The sequence below is a fragment of the Homo sapiens genome, chromosome 15 (genome assembly GCF_000001405.40).
Source record: "Homo sapiens chromosome 15, GRCh38.p14 Primary Assembly".
In the NCBI taxonomy this organism is placed as follows: domain Eukaryota; kingdom Metazoa; phylum Chordata; class Mammalia; order Primates; family Hominidae; genus Homo; species Homo sapiens.
In genome coordinates this window covers 94,414,954-94,440,712 of record NC_000015.10, presented here as the reverse complement: position 1 = coordinate 94,440,712, position 25,759 = coordinate 94,414,954, and the positions used below count along the sequence as shown (strand labels likewise).

At 36.5% G+C, this 25,759-nt stretch overlaps 1 protein-coding gene across 22 annotated transcripts in view; it reads right to left on the bottom strand.

Moving 5' to 3' along the window:
- Positions 1-25,759, bottom strand: part of MCTP2 (multiple C2 and transmembrane domain containing 2) — a 252,587-nt gene that overhangs the window by 43,240 nt on the left and 183,588 nt on the right. For 15 of the 22 annotated variants that reach the window (NR_169532.1, NR_169530.1, NR_169527.1 and 12 more), the window contains one exon: positions 415-537. The exons of the other annotated variants lie outside the window; for them this stretch is intronic. Coding sequence is in view for 10 of the 15 variants with exons in the window: in XM_047432839.1 (XP_047288795.1) it covers positions 415-537 (123 nt within the window). In the remaining 5 variants the exon portion in view is untranslated. The remainder of the gene's footprint in view (positions 1-414; positions 538-25,759) is intronic. 22 annotated transcript variants of the gene reach the window in all.

The window sequence follows — 25,759 nt, the reverse complement described above, 5'->3', positions numbered from 1 at the left end:
TTGCATAAGGTGCCTTCATGGAAAGGCCAGAGTTAGCCCTGCAGAGCTCTCTGCATGCCCAGCAATGGCCCACAGAGCCAGCAAAGGTTTCTCGCTAGTGACTGAGGAGGTTGTTCACAGGAACTCTACAGAGAATCAGATGAGCACACAGACATGTGCTACCAGCATGGAAATGATAACCATGAACCAGAGGCTCCCTTCATGCAGGCCAAGACTCAGGAACGTAAGATGCCACAGAAAGAAGACTCCAGATTATTCATGATAGAAGACCTCCACTGCAAAATGAGTGCCTTTGCAGGGCTGCTCCTTACACCTCAAACGAAATGGACTTGGGCCATGATTTGGTGGTGGTGGTAGTTTGTTGTTAACACATTTCTCGGCAGTCAAATGTCAGAACTCCGAATCCTTGCTTACCTGGCTGTCCTGGATGCTGCTGACCTTGCCTTTCACAGGTCTGATGAAATTGTAGACAAAGATCAGCAACAATGCCAAGGGGATCATATATAGTTCAAAATTCCAGACAGTGATCAAAAATACCTGATTGAAAGACAAATAAGAATACACGACTGCTTGATAAAACACTAGGGGAGCAATCAAATTCCTACTCATTGATGTAAGGAGATTCAATTGGACTCTTTCTAGTCACATTCAGAAACATTTCCAAACAGGTACGCACACACACAATGATCAACTCATTTTTAGAACTGGTAGCATAGAAAGAGCTGATTAGTCACGCTCTGGAATAGACAGATACAGTGGCTTCATACCTGAAAAGCCCATGGATTTTAGTGTGCCAGAATTTATGGAAAGTAGTATGGAAAAAGTCCAAGGTCACAAAGACGCAGGCCAGAGACCAAATTTTGCCAAAAGTGAGGTTTATTTGAACAGGAAAGAGCCACTACTTTTTCAGTTGGCTGCCAATATTGAAAAATCCAAATATTTCAGAGAAAGACTTTGGATTTCCAAACTTTTGTTAAAGTGCTTAAAATCTACCAATTTCGAGACTATATGGACACAAGAAAATGATTGGCTAGCATTGTCTACATCAGAAAAGGTATGCCCTTAGCTGCCCAATTTCTGTCAACCTCTGAAATTTGTGACTCCTCACATAGAAAGGCAAGTGAGAATTTGAGACTGAGTCCAACTGCCTATGCTACAATGGTTATTAGAGACATGAATGCAGGTAGATGGTTCTACCTCCAAGAAACACACTAATTAGGATAAATAAGGTGAGAACACCTTTTAATTATAACATGAGGCAGGAGTGAAATTTTGGGTAAATTACTTCAAAATTTGAGTCTCACTTTCGTTTCAAACTCACCGGTAGTCTAGAAGACGAAATAAGGTAATTTGTGGTTATCAGCTGTCTGTAAGTGCTTGAAAAAAACCACTGCTATAACATATCAACTTAGAAAAGGCAAATTACTGCATCTTAAATATGAAATCTTCCTTTCCAAAAGCAATACTGTTTCATTGCTAAAAACTTTTTCTAACATTTAAAAATTTTCTCTTTGTGATTATCATATATTGCTTTTATTTTTTGGTGCCCATTGTAAATAAAATCACTTCTTCCATTATGTTTTTCAAACTTGTCATTATTTACATATAAAAGCAAATAATTTACATATATATTTTTAACATTAGCAGCCTTACTGAATATTCTTTATTGTATCAAATAGTTTATTTCATTCCTGCGAGGCTTCTAAGAATATAGTCACATAATCTACAATTAAGGATCCTCTTCTGTTTCCTCTTTTCTATTTGTAATTTTTTTCCTGCTTGATTTCATTACTCCTACAAAAAATTGTTAAACTGTTCAGAAGGATATCACTGTTTAATTCGTGGCTTTAATGAAAATACTTCTAGAGTGATAAATCATACCACATTAAGAACACACACAAACCATTTTTAATACCAGAAAATTTACATATAGGTGATCATTATTCTTTATATCTTTGAAATGTTTTATAAATACTCTTTCATATCTGTTATAAACCTAATAAAAACATGTTTTAAACAAAAATTTGTCCAGCAATTTTAACAGGGTATAATTTTTAAGATCAAGAATGGTTGGTAGCTAACCAACCGTTCGTTCAGTATCTTCTGAGATAAGGATGGTTTTATCCTTTTCATTTAAAGACATCAATATGGTGAAGTATTGTATTTGTAATTTCATAATTTGAAGCAATCTTGTATTTCTGGGAGAAACTCCTTCACTGAGGTGAACCCGTATTGCTGTATTTTATTTTCTAACACTTAAAGATGTTTTGCATAGACGCTCGTGTTCTTTTTGTCAACCTTCCTCAGTCCTATTCCTCTCATTTCCAAAGACAACCTTGTCCTAAATTTGATGTGAATTTTTTCCACCTCAGGGCACCTTAGGTATATATTAGTAATAACAAAATAAAAATGTTCCTATCATTCTGCAAATATTTTAACCAATAGTATGTTTTATAGTTCTTTTCACGGTGTATGCGTAAATCAAGTACATTTATTTTAACTAATATAGTTCCCATTCAAATGAATGCTCTGCAATTTGACGACTATACTCGCTCATCAATGCAAACATGGGCTGAAATAGTGGTTTTACGTAATCAAATATATTAGTCTTTTACATTAGGATTTCTACCTTTAATGTTCAGTGTTCTACTTAAGAAATCATATTCTACCTTGAGTTCATACAGCTATTTCCTTGTGTTTTCTTCTAAAGATGACTGTGTATGATCTTTATTCTGTCTCAATTTTGTTGTTTTTAATTTTTTTTTTTAACTCAGGCAATCCAATGTGAACTTTTTCCTTACAGCCATCTTTTACAGCTAAATTCCTGTAATGATCCCCATTTTTCTCTTTCATCTACATTGCTACTTCTGTCAATATACCAAGTTCCCACATGAGTGTGTCTATTGTTTCTGAGCCCTCTCAGTTCTCCATTGATATATTTTCCTATATTTTACCAAGACCACATTTTAAAAACTATAATTTCGTAACCATACAATATCTGAGTGGGCAAGTCTCTTATTACACGCTCAAAATGATCTTGGATATTTTTTCACCCTTTACTCTTCCACGTGTATTTCAGAATTAATTTATAAATTTCTATACAACTCAGAAAAATTAAGACTGAGATTGTCTTGATAATTTAAAGATAATTGGTATCTTGATATTAACATTTCATAATGATTATTTCTCTATATTCAGAACTTTTTATGTATCTCAAAATATTTTTTCACTGTACTGATTTTCCATGTTTCATTTTTTTTAAGTAACTTGGAGTTTAACACTATTATAAATAGCAACGGAACAATTTTAAGGTTTATCATTTAATTGTTAATGCTGGGTACAGAAACACTAATTTTTATATATTCACATTCTTTCTTTTTTATATATTCACATTCACCTCTTATTAGCTGTAAGAGACTGCAAATACATTCTTTTGTAGATCTGATGTAGAAAATCATATCAACTGCAAATCATGACGATTTTCCTTCACCTTCTTCCATTCTATATGTTACGTTCCTCCTAGTGCTAAACCTCTTTTTTTTTTTTTTTTTTTTTTTGGATGTGTAAGTGTGAAATTTTTGAAATACTTTTTGGATCAATGAAAAAAATCAAACCACACTGATTTCCTCTAGTGTGGCTTGCTCCATCAACTTTCCTTTATTTAAAGTTTTATAATGTCAAATATATAATCTGTTCCTATAATTTTCTTCTTTTCAAATGTTTCTTTTTTTATAAAATAAAACATAGCAAAAAGTAGAGCCAATAGTAATTTCTTTATTAGGTAAAGCTAGAGATTTTCCTGTTTGTTACCTATTTCCCTTTCCCTATTGTTACGTTTTTTGGGGGGATTAAGGGTTTTAACGGCATACTCAATGGTGGTTGTTTCTAAATGCCTGTCTACTGGGTAAATGGATTTTATTATTATTTTAAATTACTAAATGTAACTTCAAGTAAGAAGAGGCTGACATAAAGCTATGGAGAAAAATCAGGACACATCATGTTTATTTTCTTCATTATAAAACTATGTATGTCTTTGAAAAAATTACTTGAACAACCACCAGTATTAAGGAGATGGTTGTTTTAGGTAAACACCTCATTTGCTATAGCATTGGCCTCTATCGGGAATACTTAAGCAATCCTAGAAATGTTTTACAACAAAAATTGAGTTATATTTAAATATCACATTCAAATAGCCTAAAACTCTTTTACAGTGAGACCATATTGCCTTTAGATATATATTTTTTAAATCAATGCATAATTCCCATTTCTGTAGTAAAGAACTGATTTCCTAACAAACATCTTTCAAGGAAAGCAAATATAAACCCCAGAAAAATATTTTTTTTAGAAAAAAAGTCTAATTATCTAAGCATCTTCAAAGAAAGAAAGAGTTGTAACTTGGAAAGAAGGAATCAGATCTGCATGGAGTTAATTAAAAATGTTTGTATCTTTGATCCAAGAGCAGCTGCAGTCACTCTGGTGGTACCAGCTGAGTAAAACTCCAATGAAAAATTTACCATTACTTCTGAATGGAGGAAACGGGAATGCACTCAGGGACAACCAGAGCCACTGCAGAGCGCAGAGGTACGCTGAAAGGAGAGTGTAAGCAAAGGTAAACCCCACATTCAGTATGTGAATGCCGCTAAAGTTGCTGGCATACATGCAGAGCACACTCAAGCAGTCTAAGATCAAAGCTATCACCCTAAGACATGTGACAAAGTTTGCATTTTGAGTCTAATAAAATTAAATGCCTTAAAAAAAACTTGTTTAGAAGAATATAGCATAGGCCGGGCGCGGTGGCTCACGCCTGTAATCCCAGCACTTTGGGAGGCCGAGGCGGGCGGATCACGAGGTCAGGAGATCGAGACCATCCCGGCTAAAACGGTGAAACCCCGTCTCTACTAAAAATACAAAAAATTAGCCGGGTGTAGTGGCGGGCGCCTGTAATCCCAGCTACTCGGGAGGCTGAGGCAGGAGAATGGCGTGAACCCGGGAGGCGGAGCTTGCAGTGAGCCGAGATCGCGCCACTGCACTCCAGCCTGGGCGACAGAGCGAGACTCCGTCTCAAAAAAAAAAAAAAAAAAAAGAATAAAAAAAGTACAACTTTTTTAGCAGATGACATGATTTTTTAAATGTACAAAATCCTAAGGAATCTACAAAGCAAATCCTAGAAATGACAACTAAATTCAGCAAAGTCCATGGTATAAAGTTATTATTAAAATATCGAAATCATTTTCAGATGTTAATACTAGCAGCAAAACATTAAAAAATAAAAATTTTTAATTTCCATTTATAGTAGCACCATGAAAGCAACACAGTATTTTAGAATAAAATTTATAAAACATGAGCAAGATATCCTCACTGGAAACTATGAAAGATTATTAAGAAACATTACAGAATATGTAAATAAGAAAATAAATATGCCTAGTTCATGGAGTGGAAGATTTGGTATTGTTAAGGTGGCAGTTATTCACAAATTGACCTACAGATTCAAGCAATCTTTATTTTATAGAAATGGGTAACCTGATTCTAAACACTATATGAAAATGCAGGCTGGGTACGGTGGCTCATGCCTGTAACCCTAGCACTTTGGGAGGCCAACACAGGTGGATCACCTGAAGTCAAGAGTTTGGGACCAGCCTTGGCCAACATGGTGAAACCCTGTCTCTACTAAAAATAGAAAAATTAGCCAGGCATGGTGGCATGTGCCTGTAATCCCAGCTACTCGGGAGGCTAAGGCAGGAGAATCGCTTGAACCCGAGGAGCGGAGGTTGCAGTGAGCTAAGATCGCGCCACTTCACTCTAGCCTGGGTGAAGGAGCAAACAAAACTGCATCAAAAAAAAAAGAAAAAAAAAAAGAAAGAAAGAAAGAAAGAGAAAATGCAAATGGCATGCAATAGTCAAAGCAATTTTAGCAAATAACACACTAGCTGACTTCACAAGTTATTATGAAGCTGTAGCAAAGTAGTAGTAGTGTTGGTGAAAAGACAGACTTATACATCAGTGGAGTAGAAGATAGAGTCCAGAAATAGATCCACATAAAAGTGGTTGATTTTTAAGAAAGTTGCCAATGTAATTCAATCGAAAAAATGGTATTTTTTTTAAACACTGGCACTAGAACAACTGGATATATGTATGGGGAAAAAAAATCACCTACTCTTACCACATAACATACAAAATTTAACTCTAAATGGATTATACATCTGAATGTAAATTCTAGAATTTTAAGACTTCTAAGAAAAAAGGATAAGAGAAAATCTTGCCATCTTAGAGTGGGCAAAGATTTCTTAGGACACAAAAAATATAAAGAGTAATAGAAAAATAGAAAAAAAAAAATAGGCTGGGAGTGGTGGCTCACCCCTGTAATCTCAGCACTTTGTGAGGCCAAGGTGGGAGGTCTGTTTGAAGCCAGGAGTTTGAGACCAGCCTGGGCAACATCACAAAAATGAGCTGGGTGTGATGGCATGTGCCTGCAAGTCTCAGCTACTTGGGAGGCTGAGGCAAAGAAATCACTCAAGCCTAGAGGCTAGAGGATGCAGTGACCCATGACTGCACCACTGTACTCCAGCCTGGGTGACAGAGTGAGACAGCAACCCCCCACCACAAAAAAATAAAAAAAAAAGACTTCATCAAAATATAAAATATACTCCTTTTGCTCTTTGAAAGGAAATGAAAGGGCAAGTCGCAAAATGAAGAAAATATTTTCACTACATATACTGAAAGGGATCTTGTTTCCAGAAGATAAAAAATTATTACAATTTAATAAGACGACTCAATATAAATGTGCAAAATATTTGACCAAATCCTTCAAACACAAAAAAGCCATATTAATACCTACAAACACATAGGAAGATATCCAACATGATTATGCATTAGGAAAACACAAATTAAAACCACTGTGAAATCTGATTTCACATGTATTAGAAGGGCTAAAATTTAAAACACTGGTAATATAAAGTGTTGACAAAAATGTGGAGCAACTGCAGCTCTCACACATCCTTGGTAAAAACACAAAATGGTACATCCAATTTGAAAAACTGTATGGCAGTTTCTCAAAACATTGAACATATATTTACCATAATTCACAGCTTTTCTACTTCTGTATAATATGTCTCACAAAAGTCTTGTCCACAAATGTTCATAGCACAGCAGCATTATTCTAAATAACAAAACTGGAAATGGCCCAAATGTCAACAAAAAAGTGAATATATCCACACAGTAGAACAATACTCAGAAACACAACAGAAAAATCACGTATGTTAGGACCATTGCTTGAAGCTTGGTTTCTCTGGCACCAAGGAAACTTCTTACTCTACCATGCATGTCTTCCCAATATGTTCCATGACATAGGTGCAGCAGCGACCAGTAGGTGTAATTTCAAAAAAATCGCCTTAAATTTTCAGCTGCAAATATTTCTTCACTTTCTATCCTAAAATTTATCTGCAATAGTTTTTATGAAAATGTATACATGCTAAATCTCAGATAGGAGAACATGACTCATGAAAAGATTAATTTTTTCCTGAGGAAAACCCTAAAGATAAAAATACCTTCAAGAGTCCATGGTTCCAAGCTAGCTGTGACTGAAGAACTTAGCTAGCATTGCCATAGACACTTGAACAAATCTAACAAATCCCCTATGTATTGTTTCTTTAAGTATAACACGAGAAGGATGTAACCTCATGTCACAAAAAAATTTATCATGTCTATCAGGTTTCATGATGAAATGGTGATGAAGTGATCTGTAACCAATTAAGTAATCAACCAAGCCATTAACTATCTTGTAAACATCCAAGAGAATGCCTCTACTAAAAAGTAGTTAACTTCAGACACCAAGTTCAATGAATGACATGGCTGTTCGCCTAAGTACTCTGGGATCTCCTCATTTGAAATTATCTTAAGATTCTGTCCTTTTGTCCTTCAAGAGTGAATTTGAGATTAGGAAACAGCCAAATTACAAGAAGCTGAGTCTCTGAATAATTCTCAAAAACATTGCTTTTGTTGAAACAAAGCAAAGTATGATTATAGAGATTAGAGTTTGCATCTTATGGCTTACACACTGTCCATGAAAGTAGTGTTTAAAAAAACTGAACAATGAAATCAAGAGCCTCATTTGAATAAATATATTTCATTATGGTTGTTCATACAAAATCATGGGTTGTTTTATACTTGTATTTTGTAAATAGCTAGGCATGCCACAGACATTTGGGAATCTAGCCAACATGGCCATTATTTAGAATAGAACTTTGACCCAACATTGGTCAAAGTAACCAGGTGATCTTAAATTGCTCTTCTGTTTTATAGTCACCTAAGATGACATAAGTACATTAAATATATAATAATAAAATTAAGTGTTCTTTTGTGGTAGAAAATCGTTAAGAGAATGCTATATGTTCTCTATATTTGCCATCATATAAATTAAGTTTCAGCTAATGAAAAATCTGCTTTCTGTTGTGTTACCCATTCCTACACCACAAACCAAATGTAAGAAAAAGAATAGATAGGCCCAACATCCACCTTCCTTGCCACCAACCCAAACTCTCCAACCTTACTAAACTCCTGGGTTAAAACTGAAACAAGAACAACATCTCAGGAAGTCCAAGGAAGGGCTAGTTGATTTCTTCTAGTGTAAGGTACTGCTCATTCAAAATCTAATGATTTTGTATGAATACTTAAGAGGGCTAGAAGCTGGTTCATCTGAAAAGTACTAAAGAAGATTCTAAATCTCTTTTAAAAACCACTGGAGTGGTCTTTGAGACAAGAAAATAAGAAAGGGCAGCAAACACACACAGACACAGACACTTTCAGAATACTGTGTACATCAACTCATTTGTCATAATAAAGATAAAATCTAGATATTTGAAACAGTGTATCTTTAAATAATCATACCATCTTTATGAAAAATCATCCTATTGTATAGGGCATAATTTAGAGGGGGAAAACACATAAGTATGATTATTTTAGAATAAACATATTGGGTAAAGGTGAAACAAAGCTGTGTTAATTCTGTTCAAAAAAAATCCAGGGTTAAATTTTTAAAAAAAATTATAATTTGACCAGGTATACATTCATTTCTAAGGTAACAAATCAATAAGTAGCCCCTTCTCAAGAAGTTGTAACTGCCTTTTTTTGTTAAAGCAGGAAAAACATGTCTTACATATCACTATACCAAAGCAAAACAACAACAAAACACCACTAGGTTTTATCAACAGCATCGAACTGATTAAAATATTCCATTTTTCCCTGGCCAACATTAAGACATTCAGACTTCATGATTTAACAGTTAAGACCTTTCATTAACTGGCTCAGACTTGGTTGTGTGTCATAATCCAACTGCACCACACATTCTAGGTTCCTAATCACACCGCACCATTTGCAAACCTTAAGATATAAAACGATGTTCAGGACTTTGCTTTTGAACATACCTTTCTCTCATTTAGAAAGCTATTTTCTCAACTGCTTGACTATTTCTTCACTTATAATGTTCTATCCCTGGGCCATTCAAACTAAATTCATCTTCTTGTCACTACTTTATTTCCTGGATAAGTTTATTACTCATTTTTTCTTCAGTACTGATTTGTTAAACACCTACATTGATTTAGACACAAGAGTAAACAAAAACAAACCAAAAGCAGCCTTTATGTAGCTTAGATTGTATATGAGGATTGAAGATGAGATAGAAAAAATAAACTATATATATCAGGCGGTAAAAGGATCCACCATGAGAAAACAAAAGAGAGACAAGGAAGGGAAGGAGTATCAGGCAGTGGGGCTGGGTTTGCAATTACATGTGAGGTAATTAGGGAAGAAATCACTGAGAGGGCAGTAAGTGAGCAAAGACTTTGGAGGAGGTGTGGGTATCTAGGTGAATAATGTTTCCAGGCAGAAGAAAGAGCAAATGCAAAGGCCCAGAATCGGGAGTATGCCTTCTTCCAGTGTTTTGTTTATTTTTTTATTTTTTATTTTTGAGACGTAGTCTCACTCTGTCACCAAGGCTAGAGGGCAGTGGCACAACCTCAGCTCACTCACTGCAACCTCCACCTCCCAGGTTCCAGTGATTGTCCTGCCTCAGCCTCCCAAGTAGCTGCGATTACAGGCGCCCACCACGACGCCCAGCTAATTTTTTTTTTTTTTTTTTTTTGTATTTTTAGTAGAGAAGGGGTTTCACCATGTTGGCCAGGCTGGTTTCAAACTCCTGACCTCAAGTTATCCTCCCACCTCACCCTCCCAATGTGCTAGGATTACAGGCATGAGTCACCATGCCCAGCCTTCCAGTGTGTGTGTGTGTGTGTGTGTGTGTGTGTGTGTGTGTGTGTGTGTGTGTGATTGTTTTTGGGTTTTTTTTGTTTGTTTTTTTTTAAAAAGGCAGCATGGACTCCTTGTGTCTGAAGCAGAGTGAGCAAGAATATTGGAAAGAGAAGTGAAAAAGGAACAGGAGTTGGCCACAAGGGGCCTGGTTGATGGCTGTAAGGTCCTTGCCTTTTATTCTAAGGGAGTTGCTAGACTGCCAAGAGGGCGGGAAGCAGAATAACATGATTTGACTCATATTTAAGAAGAATTACTGTGGTTGCATAATGAGAACAAATCATGAAGAGACAACACATATTTCATCTACAAAGCTATTGAAAAGACCAGGTTAGAGTTAATTGTGGCCTAGAATTAAGGTGATGGCAGTGGAATTAGTGAGAAGTGACCATGTTTTGACTAGTTAGAAAGTAGGGACAGAGGAGTTGCAAATAGTTTAGATGAGAAGATAAAAAGGGAATGATTGAGAATGATTTGAAGATTAAGAGCTTGAAAAACTTAGATGAATGGATTTGTCCATGCATTGAGACAAAGTCTGTAGGAAGAGCAGGTTTGGGGAGGGGAGTATGAGGTGCCAATTAGATGTCCACGTGGAGACACACAGTAAACCTTAGATATATGGTTTGGAATTCAGGGTAGAGGTTATGGTTAGATACGTAAATTTGTGGATTATCAGACTCCAGATAGCATTTAAAGATATCAGACTGGATAACCTTAGCAAGGAAGCAACTAGAAAGAAATGGCCCAGAATTGATTTCTACAAAAGTCCAAATTTAGAGTTTGAGAAGATAGGGGATCAGAAAAAGAGCCTGAGGAAATGCCAGAGACAAAGAGATACATTAGGAGATGGCTGTATTCTTGAAAATAGATAAAGTATTTTAAAGAGGATGGCCACAATATATTTATAAGTAAGATGCTGAGATGTGGTCATTGGTGACTTGAAATGAGAGTTTAGTAAAATGATGAGGCAAAAATGAGATAAGAGTGAGTTTGAGAGAACGGGGAAAATTGTAGACAGGAGACATAACTCTTTGAAAGGGTTTATTACAATGAAGAGCAGAGAAATATGGTGATAGCTGGAAGGGACTGTAGCAATAAATGAGGAGAGAGAGATAAATAAAATTATGAGGCAGGAGATGGGAAATAACAGTTGGAGCACTACCTTTGAATCAGTGATAAGGGTGGAATCCACTGTAAAATGGAGTGTTGGTCTTAGCAACAATTCAGGTCATCCATAGCTACAGAAGGAAAAGCAGATGACACAGGCATAGACGTCGGTAGGGGGATAGATATAGAGGGGGTAGGGTAGCAGTAGAGGGGGCACTTATGTCAATCATGGTCATTCTACGAGAGTGAGGATGAGGAAAAGAAGTATTAAAAGTTCAAGGCAGAAGAGAAGTTATGAAATTGTCTAGAAGAGTGAAAAGGAGAGTGGATTATAGAAGTGTAATACAATTGTCAGGATGCACTAAATATTTTTTTTTGGAGCCATGCTTACCTGAGGTTCTGTTAATCAAGTCTAATGAAAGTAGAGAAGGCAAGGAAATTCTTTTAAAGATGGACTATGTGATCTGAGTTATTGGTGAGGAATGGTATAAAGGAGAGAAAATAAAATGTAAACACAATGGGTACACTAATTAACAGATTAAAAGCAGCTGAACAGAAAATTAGTAAATTGAGAGATAATTCCAAAGAAATTATTGAAGACACAGACCACAGAAACAAGGTTATAGATATACAAGTGAGGTTAAGACACATGGAAGGTAGAAATGAGAAGGTCTGATAGGTGTCTGGGGTGGAGAAAGGGGTTAAACAGAGAACCGAGAAAAAGCAATATATAAAGAAAAAATGCCTGAGGATTTTCCAGAAATGCTGAAAGATTAATATAGGAAGCCCCCCTTCCCCTAAAAATTCCTTGTCAGGATAAATTAAGAATAATCTATATCTAAAACTGTCATAGTAGAACTGAAAAAACAACTGGGGAAAAGAGGAACACTTAAAAGCAGCTAGAGAGAAAAAATAGTTCAACTACAAAGGAAAAGTAATTTGAGTGACTTTATTCCTCAAAGCAACAGGGAAAGCAAGACGACAGTAGAATAATTTAACGTATATATTCTTTCAGTCTTTCAATTTAGAATCCTGTATGTCACAAATTATCTTTAAAGGAGAGTGAAGCAGAGACATTTTCAGAAAAACATGAGCTAGTAGTGCTTCTCACCAGAAGACCCTCATGAACTTAAATATCAAAGATATACTTCAAACAGAAGGACAACTGCCCCAAGTATAAAGGCAAAATGCAAAAATGTATGGTGCTCAAAAACAATGGTAAATGTGCATGCCAGTGTAAATAAACATTGACTTACGAGAGTGAAGCATAATTTGTAATGAGACTGTCCAGAATTTAAATAGAGAAAAGCAAAAGCCTACAAATTGGGAGGGGTATGGTTTGATCTGAAGAATTCCGATACTATTGTTGTTAAGCTAGCATGTCAAGTGCAAGATAAACTTCAGCTTTTCAGTATGAAGGAGAAGATTTTTCTCAATATTCCTTTAAAAAAAAAGCTGTGAAATCTGCTTAATATACACAAACAAACAATTTGAAGATATCTGAGAATAATCAAGGCCTCTAGGACCTGAGGAGACAGGATCAAAAACAAATGCACTCCCTTAGTTTGCTACTGCTTCATGTCTTTCAGGGTTGGTTTCATTCCTATTTGTTTGTTTCCTTGTTGATATGGTTTGGCTCTGTGTCCCCACCCAAATCTCATCTCCAATTGTAATCCCCACGTGTCGGGGGAGGGGCCTGGCAGGAAGTGATTAAATCATGCGGGTGAACCTCTCCCTTGCTGTTCTCGTGATAGTGAGTGAGTTCTCATGAGATCTGGTTGTTAGAAAGTGTGTGGCACTTCTCTCTTCCTTGCTGTCTCCCTCCAGCCCCACCATGGTAAGACATGGTGCTTCCCCTTCACCTTCCATCATGATTGTAAGTTTCCTGAGGCCTCCCAGTCATGCTTCCTGTTAAGTCTGCAGAAGTGTGAGTTCACTAAACCTCTTGTTTTCATAAATTACTGAGTCTCAGGTATGTCTTCATATCAGCGTGAGAATGGACTAATACACTTGTTTTTGTCAATTCACTGTACAGAACACAGCAATCAACAGAGTACAAAGTACTAACATAGAGTTTGCTTCAATCTTAAAAATCTGGGGAGGCAAAAATTGGAGTGCATGCATGGTAACTGCAGCAGCTAGGACTTAAAAGACAAAAACATAGAGGATAAAAAAAGAATAGCAGACAGTCAAGCTGGACATTCTACATTCATTTCTCCTTAAAACAGTTACTAATTCTTAAGCCATGCATGCTTAGGATGAAGGTTAAGACCAAGCAGAAAGTGGCTGCTAAAATCTTCTGGCAATGTCACAGAGTTGGGAGACAAAAATTAGAGATGAGGGACAATTTAAAAAGAAGGGCCCTAGTAAATACTGCATGGTTTTGTTGAGAATCCAAAAAGGGCTAGGCATGGGGTAAAACTAGAAATAGATGAATCCTTAAGATGCCTGGAATCCTACCTTGGATCATCTCCATCTCTGATGGGATCAGAGTGACTTGCTATATTCTAAATGCCTACTCTATATCCTCTCTGGTAGAAGATAACATAGTCCATGCCCCCTTTAAAATGTTCTAGTAAAAATAATCAGGTATAGACAGAAGGAAAAAACAATGACCAAAAATCAAAAGAAAAAAGATAACCAGAATAGATGGGTGATTTAGATATTACAGTCATAAGATATGGATTTTAAAATAATTATAATCCATATGTTCATGAAAACAATACCAGCAGAGAACTGAGATCTGTAAGAGTCAAATAAACACCTAGAACTTCATAAACAAAATGAAGAGCTCAATAAATGAATTTAACAGTGGAACAGATCAAGCAAAAGAGAGAATTTGTGATTTGGAGTAGGGAATTAAATTAATAATTTGGAGTATTAGTAGAAAATATCTACACTTCAAGTAGAGATAGATATGGTAAAACTAGAAATAGAATAATAAGAAGTATGGCACACTGAGAAAGGTTTACTTTATATGTAAAAATCTGATATCCAGAAAGAGAGAGAAAAGAGAGACTAGGAAAAAGCTATAAGTGATACTGGATGAGAATCTTCCAAAATTTATAAAAGACATGGAGTCATAAAGTTAAGGAATGCCAAATAGGATGACTAGAGAAACATACACACACATTCTCTCTCTCTCTCTCTCTCTCTCTCTCTCTCAATCTCTCTCTCTCTCTCTCTGGCATCTCAGAGTAAAACTGAAAATAATCAATGGTCAAAAGCAAGTTTGAAAGGCAGGCACAGGAGTAAAAAAGACACTTTGCCTTCCATGGAGCAATAATAAAATTGACAATTGACATGTCCAAAAAACACTAATAGCCAGAAGAAAAAAAAGAAACAGTTTGTATAAGATTTACCTAATCCATTAATGTTTGGTAAAACTTGCCTCTAAAGTTGCCTGAGCCTTAGGTTTAGCTTTCTGGGATGATATTAAATTATAGATGCAATTATTTAATGGATTTAGTACTGTTTAAGTCTCTTTTGCAACTTTGATAAGTTGTTGTATAAGCTTTATTCATTTCATGTAGTTTCAACATTTTAAGTTTAAAATTGGTCATAATACCCTGTTATGTTTAATCTCTGCCTCATCTGAATAATCTCCCCTTCCAATGCCTGTTTGTGTCTTTTCTCTTTGTACATTGAAAACGCTGAGAAAAGAATAATCAGTTCTCTAAGTGTTTCAAAAAGATAACTTTTATTTTTGTTTTTTCTTTTGATTTTACTCATGATTTTTGTTCTTTTTTTTTACTCCTGCTAATCAACTTGGTATCATTCTGCTGTTTTTTTTATAATGTATTGATTTTGAAAGTTAATAAGTTTGCCTCTGACTTACTTTCAATATTGGTCTTGTCCTGTTTTTGTGGAACACAAAAAGTGAATTCTACCTCTTATATGGAAGAACAAAGAGCCGAGCTCTCTTACCAAGACATTCTTGAAGAAGAAAAGGAAATTGGGAAGAACTGTGCTAAACCTAAATATTTGTGTGATACTGGTACAGGAATAGACAAGAGACCAATGAAGAAGCCCATCTATGTATGTAAACTTGATTTATGACTTCGTAGAAATTGCAGATCATTGAGAAAAGGCAGAATATTCAATAAGTGATACCAAGTCATTTGGATACTACTCAGAACACAAAAATGAAATTAAAACACAAGTAGATTTAAAGATGTAATTTAAAATTTAAACAAAATTAAAGAATATTTTTATGACTTTGGGCTTAAGAAAGGATTTTTCAAACATGTCACAAAATGCACCAACCACAGGAAAAATTGGGTAATTTTGATATTAAAGATTATGTTCATCAAAAGGTAAAACAAACAGCATGAAAAAAATAGAAACCTCTAGAAGATATTTTAAGTACAAAGAATGTGTATCTAGATTAAATGCTTATACAAAAAAAAATGTAGGGGGAGAAGAAAATTAGGCAAATTAGGCAAAGATAGAGCAAAGAAGGAGGGATCCAAATGCCCCCAACCATATGAAACGTGTAAGTATTATAATAAAAAATGCAAATTAAGACCTCACCAAAGTACCCCTTCACACACCAGACTGACAAAATTAAGAAGTCAGATAACGCCAAGAGTTTTCTAAGATGCAAAATCATAACTTTCATTTGATGCTGATGGTTCAATAATCACTTGGGAAATGGTTGGCATTAACTAATGAAGCAGAAACTGTATATCCCAAAACCTAGTGGTCCTACTCCTAGGCATATACCCTAGAGCAGTAGATCTCAAACTTGAGCCTGTATGAGAAGCACCTGGAGGCGTTATTTAAACAAGATTGCTAAGTCCCATCCCCAGAGTTCCTGATTCAGCAGATTTGGAGGGGGGCCCAAGAAACTGCATTCCTGAAAAGTTTTCAGATGCTGCCCTCCAGGCACCTCACTGGGAACTATTGCTCTAAATTCTTACACGCGTCCACCAGGTGATACGTATAATGATGTTTACAAGAGTACTTTTGATAATGGAAAAAAAAAACCCAAAAAACAAAATGAAAATATCCAAATATGTAATCAATTCAAAGGTCCATCTAGAATAGAATGGATAAATAATTTACTCATACAGCTATACGCTATACAGGATGTAAATGAACTACATAGATGAATATCAAAAACGATACTAAGTAAATAAATGCAAGTCACAGAATAAGATATAAATTTTTTTTATGATTTCTAAAACCTTCAGAAATCAGACAAAATTGAACACATTGTTGAAAGACAGACACAAAGATGGCAAAACCACAATTGACAGTGAGTGACATGCAACATTTAGTATTACCATTACTCCTGGGGACAAAGCAGGAAGGAGGATTCAATTACAAAGAAGTAGAGAAAGAACTTCAAAAAATGTTCAGTTTGTAAGTGGGGCAGTAGGTACACAGATGTTTCACCTTATCATCATTCTTTAAACTGCATATATGTGTGCATACATCGTTTTACAAACTCCCTTGTACATGTGACATATTTTACATTTGCTTTCCCTTACAGTAGATCACGTACCACTGGAAACACTGAGTGTGATTCTGCACTGGCCTAGGAATGCTTTCAAAAGCCATGATTTCAGGGTTCCCAAGCAGCCACTACCATTGGCAGCCGCCAATATGAACTCTTACACGCACATGCACCTATGCGCACACACATATCTAAATTCAAGCCCCCATTTTGCCTTATTTAAATACAGTTTTAAGTACAAATGTCAGGGTACCTCACTATGTATGATTCCACAGTAGTCAAAGGAACATTTCTTTTTAAATAACGACATAAAATCATTACTGTTTGACTTTGGGGGAGTTTGAATATGGAGTCAAATGCTCTTAACTGTTCTGTTGTACTTTTCCCTTTTGTGTTAATTCCAACAGTTTTAAAGCAATTAAATTTTCTAACAGTAAATATTTATTTACAGGTGTGTAGAAAATATTCACTTTGGATCTAAATCATGGCTCTACCGTACTAGCTGTGTGATCTTGGAAACATTATCAAACATTTTTCTTCTGTGAAATGGGAATGGTAATATCTGCCTCAAGGGCTCTTGAGAGGATTAAATGCAACGATGAACTTGAATGGCTGCCATCATGTTTTTATAAATTGGATAAGTGGTTACATCCAAGTGAAAGGACAGAGGTATAATCGAGAAGAAAATCACTTGGAAGACAAAGTTTGTTAGGCTCTATTTCACTAATTATCTTTGTAGAAAAGCACTCAGATAATTCATTGGTTCAATTAGAAGACATATACCCAGTTACTACTTTGCGTTAGGCTCAATGCTAAACAATGAAAGTGCTTAGGTAAGACTAACAGCTTAGCCTAGGTGTCGTGGCTCAAGCCTGTAATCCCAGCACTTTGGGAGGCCAAAGCAGGAGGATCCCTTGAGCCCTGGAGTTAGAGGCCAGCCTGGGCAACATAGTGGAAACCCCATCTTTACAGAAGAAAAAAGAAAAAAGACGATGACTGATAGTTTAGTGGGAAGGAGGAAGTAAAAGCAAAAGATATGACAGTGGTAAAAATTTAAAAAGGCTTCACATGCTTGGAGATGGTAAAATATCCAACAGTGCTGGTTCATAGAGCAACGGCTGGCAATAAGGTTGGAGAACTTGGTGGGGACCAGTTCATGGAAAATCCTGTATGTCACAGTGGGAAGTTGAGAATGTGATTTGAAATGAGAATGGATTTCTAAACAAAGAAATGATATGATCAAATATTTAGATACATCAGGTGACATGGTACCCTTAATTATGGAAGTGGGCAAGGGAAATGGGAAACTGGAAAAAAATTAGGAAGAGTTTCACTCTGACAGTCACTGGGAAAGGGCAAGATCGCTTTTGCCTGGGATGCTAAAGGATGTTTTACAGAGAATACAAGATTTTACTTGCTTTCAAAATGTAGCTTGAAGTTTGACTAACTGTGTAGAGTCACGTGGGGAAACACCATGGATTTAGTGCCCCTTACACTCACTCACTAACTAGGAATTATTTCTGAGTCCCGCACAACCCTCCAAGTTATTCTCTATTCTCCTTTCCCTTTTGATTGGCCCCTGGAACTAGCCCATCCATTCCTCTCCCCATGAAAGCTCACGTGCCCAAGACCCATGCTGTGGACAGGTACACAGCTTCCTCCCAGACTTCCTGCCCTCCAGCCGTATACTAGCAGCCTTGGGGAAAGGAGACTGAACACACCAAGTATCAAAGATCTTTCATGTTGCCCACAACATGTGACTTCTACATATTTCTAATTGCTGTCCTCCCAGCCACTCTCAGTTTAAAATGTCTATAGTACATAACCTCTTCCCTTTTCCCAAATTTAAGCCTCTCATTGAAACACTTTGTATGCAAGAAACCAGAGCTTGCTTTAGAAATCCTTATCCTTCAGGAAGCCACATGAATGGAAGACAGGAATGCACGACCTCATTGTGGTAGGCAGAATAATGGAATCCCAAATAGGCACCCACATCCTATTTCCCAGAACCTGTTATGTTATGGGACAAAGAGAGTTAAGGTTGCAGATGAAGCTAAGTTTTCTAATCATCTGACCTTAAAATAGGTAGATGACCCAAATTACCTGAGTGGGACAAATACAATCCCAAGGGTTCTTAAAAGTTGAAGAGGGAAGCAGAAGAAAGCCCAGAAAAGACATGAGGGCAGAAACAAGGTCAGAGTGATGTGACAGGAGAACTCAACGATCTTCCCTTGCTGGATCTGAAGATGGAGGAATGGCCCATGAGCCAAGGGATGTGGGGGCAGCCTTCAGAAGTTGAAAAGCAAAGGAAAGGGATTCTCCCCTAGATCCTCCAGATGGAAAAAGAGCCCTCCCTTAATTTTAGCCCAGTGAGACCAGGGTTAGACTTCTGACCTCCAGCACTGTAAGATAATACATTTGTGTCATCTTAAGCCACTTATGTCTTTGATAATTTGTCACAGCAGCAAAAGAAAATTAATACAATTGTACAGGCATGCATCTGAGATCTTGTGAGTTTGGTTCCAGACAACCACAACGAAGCAAAAATCACAATAAAGTGAGTCACACAATTTTTTGGGTTTCCCAGTACATAATAAAGATTATGTTTACACTGTGCTACAGTCTAGTACAGTGTACAGCAACATATGCAATGGTAAGTTGCAACATTAAGTATGCAACAGCGTATGTCTAAAAAGGTGAAGTAAATACACTTTAATTAAAAACAGTTCATTGCTAAAAAAAAAAAAAAAATACTATCATCCGAGCTTTCAGTGAGTCATAACCTTTTTGCTGGTGGAGGGTTTTGCCTCAATGTTGATGGCTGATGACTGATCAGGGTGGTGGTTGCTGAAGGCTGGGGTGGCTGTGGCAATTTCTTACAATAAGACAGCAATGAAGTCTATCACATCAATTGACTCTTGCTTTCATAAAAGATTTCTCTGTAGCATGTGATGCTCTTTGACAGCATCTTACCCATAGTAGAACTTCTTTCAAAATTGGGGTCAACATTTTCAAACCCTTCCACTGTTTTATCAACCAAGATGGAATATTCTAAGTCATTTGTTATTTCAACAATGTTCATAGCATCTTCACCAGGAGTAGATTCCATCTCTAGAATCCACTTTCCTGACTCATCCACAAGAAGAAACTTCATATGTTCAAGTTTCATCATGAGATTATAGCAATTCAGTCACATTTTCAGGCTCTACTTCTAATTCTATTCTTGCTATTTCTGCCACATCTAAACTTACTTCTTCCACTCCACCCTTCCAAGTCATCTGTGAAGGCTGCAATCGACTCCTTCTAAACTCGTGTTAATGTTGATATTTTAACCTCCTCCCATGAATCACAAATGTTCTTAATGGCATCTAGAATGGTGAATCCTTTCAAGAAGGTTCTTATTTTGTCCAGATCCATCAGAAAAATTCACAATCAATGACGGCTATCATTTTACAAAATATATTTCTTTAATAAGACCTGAAAGTTGAAATTAGTCCTTGATCCATCAGCTACAGAATGGATGTTATGTTAGCAGGCATGAAAACAACATTAATCTCATTGTATATCTCCATCACAGCTCTTGAGCAGCTAGGTACATGTTCGATGAGCAGTGATATTTTGAAAAAAATCATTTTTTTCTGAGAAGTAGATCTCAACAGTGGGTTTAAAATATTCAGTAAATGATGCTGCAAACAGATGTGCTCTCATCCAAGCTTTGTTGTTCCATTTATAGAGCACAGGCAGAGTACATTTAGCAGAATTCTTAAGGGCCCTAGGATTTCTAAAATGCTAAATGAGTACTGGCTTCAATTTAAGGTTACCAGCTGCATTAACCCCTAACAAGAGAGTCAGCCTGTCCTTTGAAGCTTTAAAGTAAAGCATTTTCTGTAGCTATGGAAGTCCTAGATGGCATCTTCTTCCAACAGAAGACTGTTTCTTCTACATTGAAAATCTGTTGTTTAGTGTAGCCACCTTTATCAATTATCTCAGCTAGAACTTCTGGATAACTTGCTTTTTTGTAGAAATGGTGCCAATAAACTTGTTAGATGCAGGTTTGCACAAATTTTCGATTTGTAAAAAAAAAAAAAATAAGCAGTATGTGCAAAGTGCAATAAAGTGAAGCCTGATAAAAGGATGCCTGCCTATATAATGTAAAAGAGGTGAAGATACATAGGGCAACTATGAAAGGCTATTTAGACTGACCAGAAAACTAATTCTACACTTTCGGAAGAAATCAGTGGGTGTAGGAGGTGGCATGTTCTTCCCAGTCAAGGTCCTATTTAGAGAAAGGGAAAGAGACACCAATAATGGAAGAATGGCCTTGGCAAATCTCAGCTTCATGAAGCTCCAGAATCAAAATGTCCTTTCCTGCCCTGACTCTCCCTTTCCTTCCCTGCCCTCTAATAAAACCTTCATATTTCCACTTATACCTCTAAGTCATGCTCTCGGTACCATAATATAAAGAAAGGTTACCAAATCAAAATTCTTTAACCATTTGTTTTCTTAAGATCCATGAGCAGTGAAATGTACTATTTCTGGTGTTTACTTGACATTGTCTTTGACTAATTCTATGTGTCATAAAGTGACCTGGTCAGTTAATTAGGGGAATATCAGACTTGGTGTCTGGCTCTTAAAGACACATTTCCATCCAGTAGTTCCAGTTTGGTGTGGGTATAACCCCATCTGGCCATTTATTCCCAGTGCTTTTGTAGGCAGACATCTCGATTATATGTTTCTCGCTTTTATTATCCTCTATGACTATTTAAATAAACAATGCATATCATTTTCAAACTGTCAGTTTCACAGTATAACTATACTGAACATTTCTATGAAGAATATGGCTGATCCATTCTAACTTTAAAGAAAGTACATATAAAATGTATTATCTTAATATTAAATATAAATTAGAGGCTTTTAGACTCCGTTGCTCTAGACATGAAGTTTTTGTTGACTTTTATTTTCCTCTTTAGAATACATTAATGGACATTTTTAAACAGGGGGAAAAGAAGGCTTCTAACCTGTATCATACATTCACTTCTTATTAGTTTTTATTCTCTTAAATGTGAAGCATTTATTAAAATTCCATCCCTTTAATGTTTACATCATGCTACTGGCCACACTATATTCTACATTTTGTGATGATTTCATATAAATGGAAAAGTCAAACAATCACCTATGCCCCAATAAAAATCCCCACACCGCTCATAAAGGCAGAAAAAGTAGTTTAAAAAGTAGAAAAGCACTGAACTAAATGAAAGAGAAAAAGCATCTAATGTGCTGCACTATTGGCTTTTTCCCCCTAGAATGATCATAATTTCAGGTCTAGAATCAGACAATAAATTTCTCATTATACGTCTTTGCAGAAGGTGGTAATTGAGCAGTTGAAAGTCTGATTTTGGTAAATACATCTTTCAAAGCCATCAGCAAATTCTCTGCTCTGATTAAAGGAAGGGAGAAAAAATCTTCACACATTTATTTATTCTCCATAAAGGTAGGTAGATGAAGAGGTCAAGAACAAAATTCCATTAAATGTATCGATAAGTGTCTTACTCATTTCAGAAGCGTAATTTTTGGCACTGTGGGGCCCTCCATGGGAGAAGTCCAATGGGATTCTAATTGGACTGTAAGTGGACAAAGCATTCTCTAAGAGTGTTCTCTGACTTTGCTCACATGAACATTAGGCTGCAATTGTGACTAAAAGCTTAAACATAACACTTACGACTTACTCCTTCATGACTTACTCCTTTATGTTCATAGAAAGATTAGATCAGAACGAACACAGAAAAAAATGCTCTGGGTAATAAAGCAAGTGTATCTAATTAGCATTAGTGCAGTGATAGAGTAAAGCAGTTCGCTGTATTAAGTTACTCCACTTGCAGCTTTATTTCTGGCACTAAAAGAAGCAGGCTTGCAGTAAGTTCACATTAAGCCTGCAATAGCTCTGTACATATTCAATGTGTTTAAAACCGACTAAGGTACCCGAATTCAGGAACCCTCCAATAGTGATTAGTGAGTGATGCTATTTATAGCAAAGTACAATTCCTTTAGGAATCATATCAAGAATGTCTTGGATGGTCTCCCGTTACTCAGATAGACTACCTATTTGCTTAATTGAAAAGCAAAATTGTGCTTGTATCAGAGCCACACATACTTGCCACTAAAAACAAGAACGATGCCAAGGCTTGGATCCTCCTTTCCCTTAGAAATGCTGTTAGGAGTCTTGAATTTATTCTGATCAAGAGGAGTCCAAGAAGCTTTCTTACAATGCTGAAACATCACCAGCGCTCAGGAATAAATCCAAAATATGGTCTTAAAACATGTGCGCACACACACACGTACGTGTACTCACTCAAACAATCTTTTGTGCACCAAAATAAAAGTTCAAATCAAAACCCAGCAACTACAAATTCAATTTTTGACCTGTTACATTCAAAATCTGTTGCATCCTGTAAATGAAGGTGCTCTAAAGAAAACTACTGAAGCACTGATTATCCCATTTAAAGATGCTTCTAAATTTTAGTGTCTTTAACATCAGATAAAAATAAAAAATTTGATGGCATAAATAGAAAATAAAGTCTTTCTTAGCTATGTTAGGATCAGATCCTGTTAAGCACACAGTGAAAATATTTTTAAAAGCCCTCTAAAAACCAGGAGGCAGATGTTCAGGTAAAACCAAAGCCAAGGGATTGTTTATTTTAATAAAGCTATTATATGTGTAGACCCAAATTAGGAGTGGCACTCAGGCCAGGAGATGTCTAAACCATCACCACCTGTTTGCCCTGAAAAATCAATTAAAGTCACACTTTCATAGCAGCCCCCTTCTAAACAATAAAACTTTGCTTCATCATGAGACTTGAGGCGCTCAGAGGGAACATGTTTGAAACCTAAATCCTTAGTCTCACATTACTTATAAACTAACCACAGTAAAAACAGCCTTCGGGGTAGTGGTAGAAATGGGAGGGAGAAGGAGATGACAAAGACGAGGAAGGGGAGAAATCCCTTTTCCCATTTATTTCATACTGACAATCATACCTCCTTTTGGTGAATTCCAATAATTTCTTCAAAGGCTCTATTTTTTTCTTTTCTTTTTTCCTCCTTCATAACAGAATTCTGCACTATATTTTCTGTGCAATAGAAGAGATCCAACTTTGCAAGTTGAAAGCAAGGGCACTAAAGCCATCGCAAGTGTTTTAGTAATTAAACGAATATGCATAATGAACCATATGCCCAAAGGGCCTGTTCTTCATGTGGGCCAGATTTTTGTTTGAATTTTTAATTTTTATATACAGATGAAACATTCAGTGTAATCTACCAACAGTGTGAGATAACATGCAATCAGAGAAAGTGCGAGGGACAGTCCACGCAGAAGCAGGAACAGGAGAGACTACAGAAATGCTCTTCTGAAGATTTTGATTCAAATGTGTTTTCCCCCTCCAGCAATTGTTCCCGTCATCTGCTCAGAGTCTTCAAGACACACATATAATGAATACACTGACAGCTTTATACAGGATGAGTAAAATACAGTGCCGTCAGCCGAAAAGTGTGAAAATCTCATGGGACAAACAAGAATTTCTTTAAAACAAAAAAAAAAATCCTTCTACACCCATCAGTCAGACTACCATCTTGAATTACAGGGAATCCTTGCAGGTCTCTTTCGGAAGCTACGTAAATATTATATTGCAGGCTGTAGGACACATATATTAGCAATTTGAACTGATCTAAGAGGAATGCTTACTTCTCAATGATGCAACTGTGCATAGTGGGTAGAAAATGCTCGAGGTGGAATGCAAGCTTGCACTCCCCACTCCTTCCTACAGCAGCAACACAGACTATGAATTTAAGGAGTTCATTATGCTCTTCACAAACAGACAGCTCCCCGATATTTCCTAAACTGCCATTGGGAAAGAACTAGTAAAACCTTTCTTTAAGCTTTTCAGTGTCATTTAGGAAACACTGAGTTATAATCAAAGCAATATAAGAGATACAGAGTCTGATAAAATTGCTATATCAGCTCTCCAGACACACAAGATTGAGTTAGGATTCTCCAATGCAGAGAGGAGATCTTTTTTCAAATGTGTCTGTGTATCATTTGAAGTTTACAATGATGGTCTGGACAAAGTTATCACGTCCTAAATGTGGGTTGGTCTTGCATATGCCTAATTCAGGGGAAACATCTCAGAATGGGGGTGTGTTGGGAGGGGTGAGGTTGGGGGGACGCACCGAGGGAATCCTAAAGTTCACCTATTTTCTACATATTTAGCTGAAATAATAACCTAAAAGGAGAATGCTGCACGGGGTGTTATGGCACTGCGAAAGGATTATGAAAACAAATTTGATCAAAAGTCAAAGTGAAGCCTTGGACCCTTTTAAGCCCCGCTTTGGAACACAGAGATGCTGTCGTTTTCACTATGTAAACACCAGAAATGGAATGCAGAGCATTTAAAGAGCAAGTAACAACGGTACGGTAAATAACATCTCTTATTGCTTTCACTCCTAATTCAGAGTTTATGCCTTTGACACCGTCTAGGTTACTTGATCTAGTGGTCTCAGTGGAAAGACAGATAAACTTCAACTGCAGGCAGAAGACAAAAATTGACAAGGAGCGTCACCTTTCCTGACTGTTTAAATCCTTTAAGGAAGTGTCTGAGCAATTAGAGAGGGAGTGTAATCTTTGCAGAGTGCATTAACACTCTGCGACCTCCCAGACAATAGATCAGACCTCAGACACATAATGCTTCCCTAAGGCTTTTTAGCCAGTGTATTTGATCTCTTAGTCACTCCTGTGTTACTGTAGGTATCATCCACATAGAAGGCATTATTCATGAGCACTACTGTCCACTGACTCTCAGGCTGGACTGCAGTCAAGCAAAAAGCAGGAAAGACACCATAATT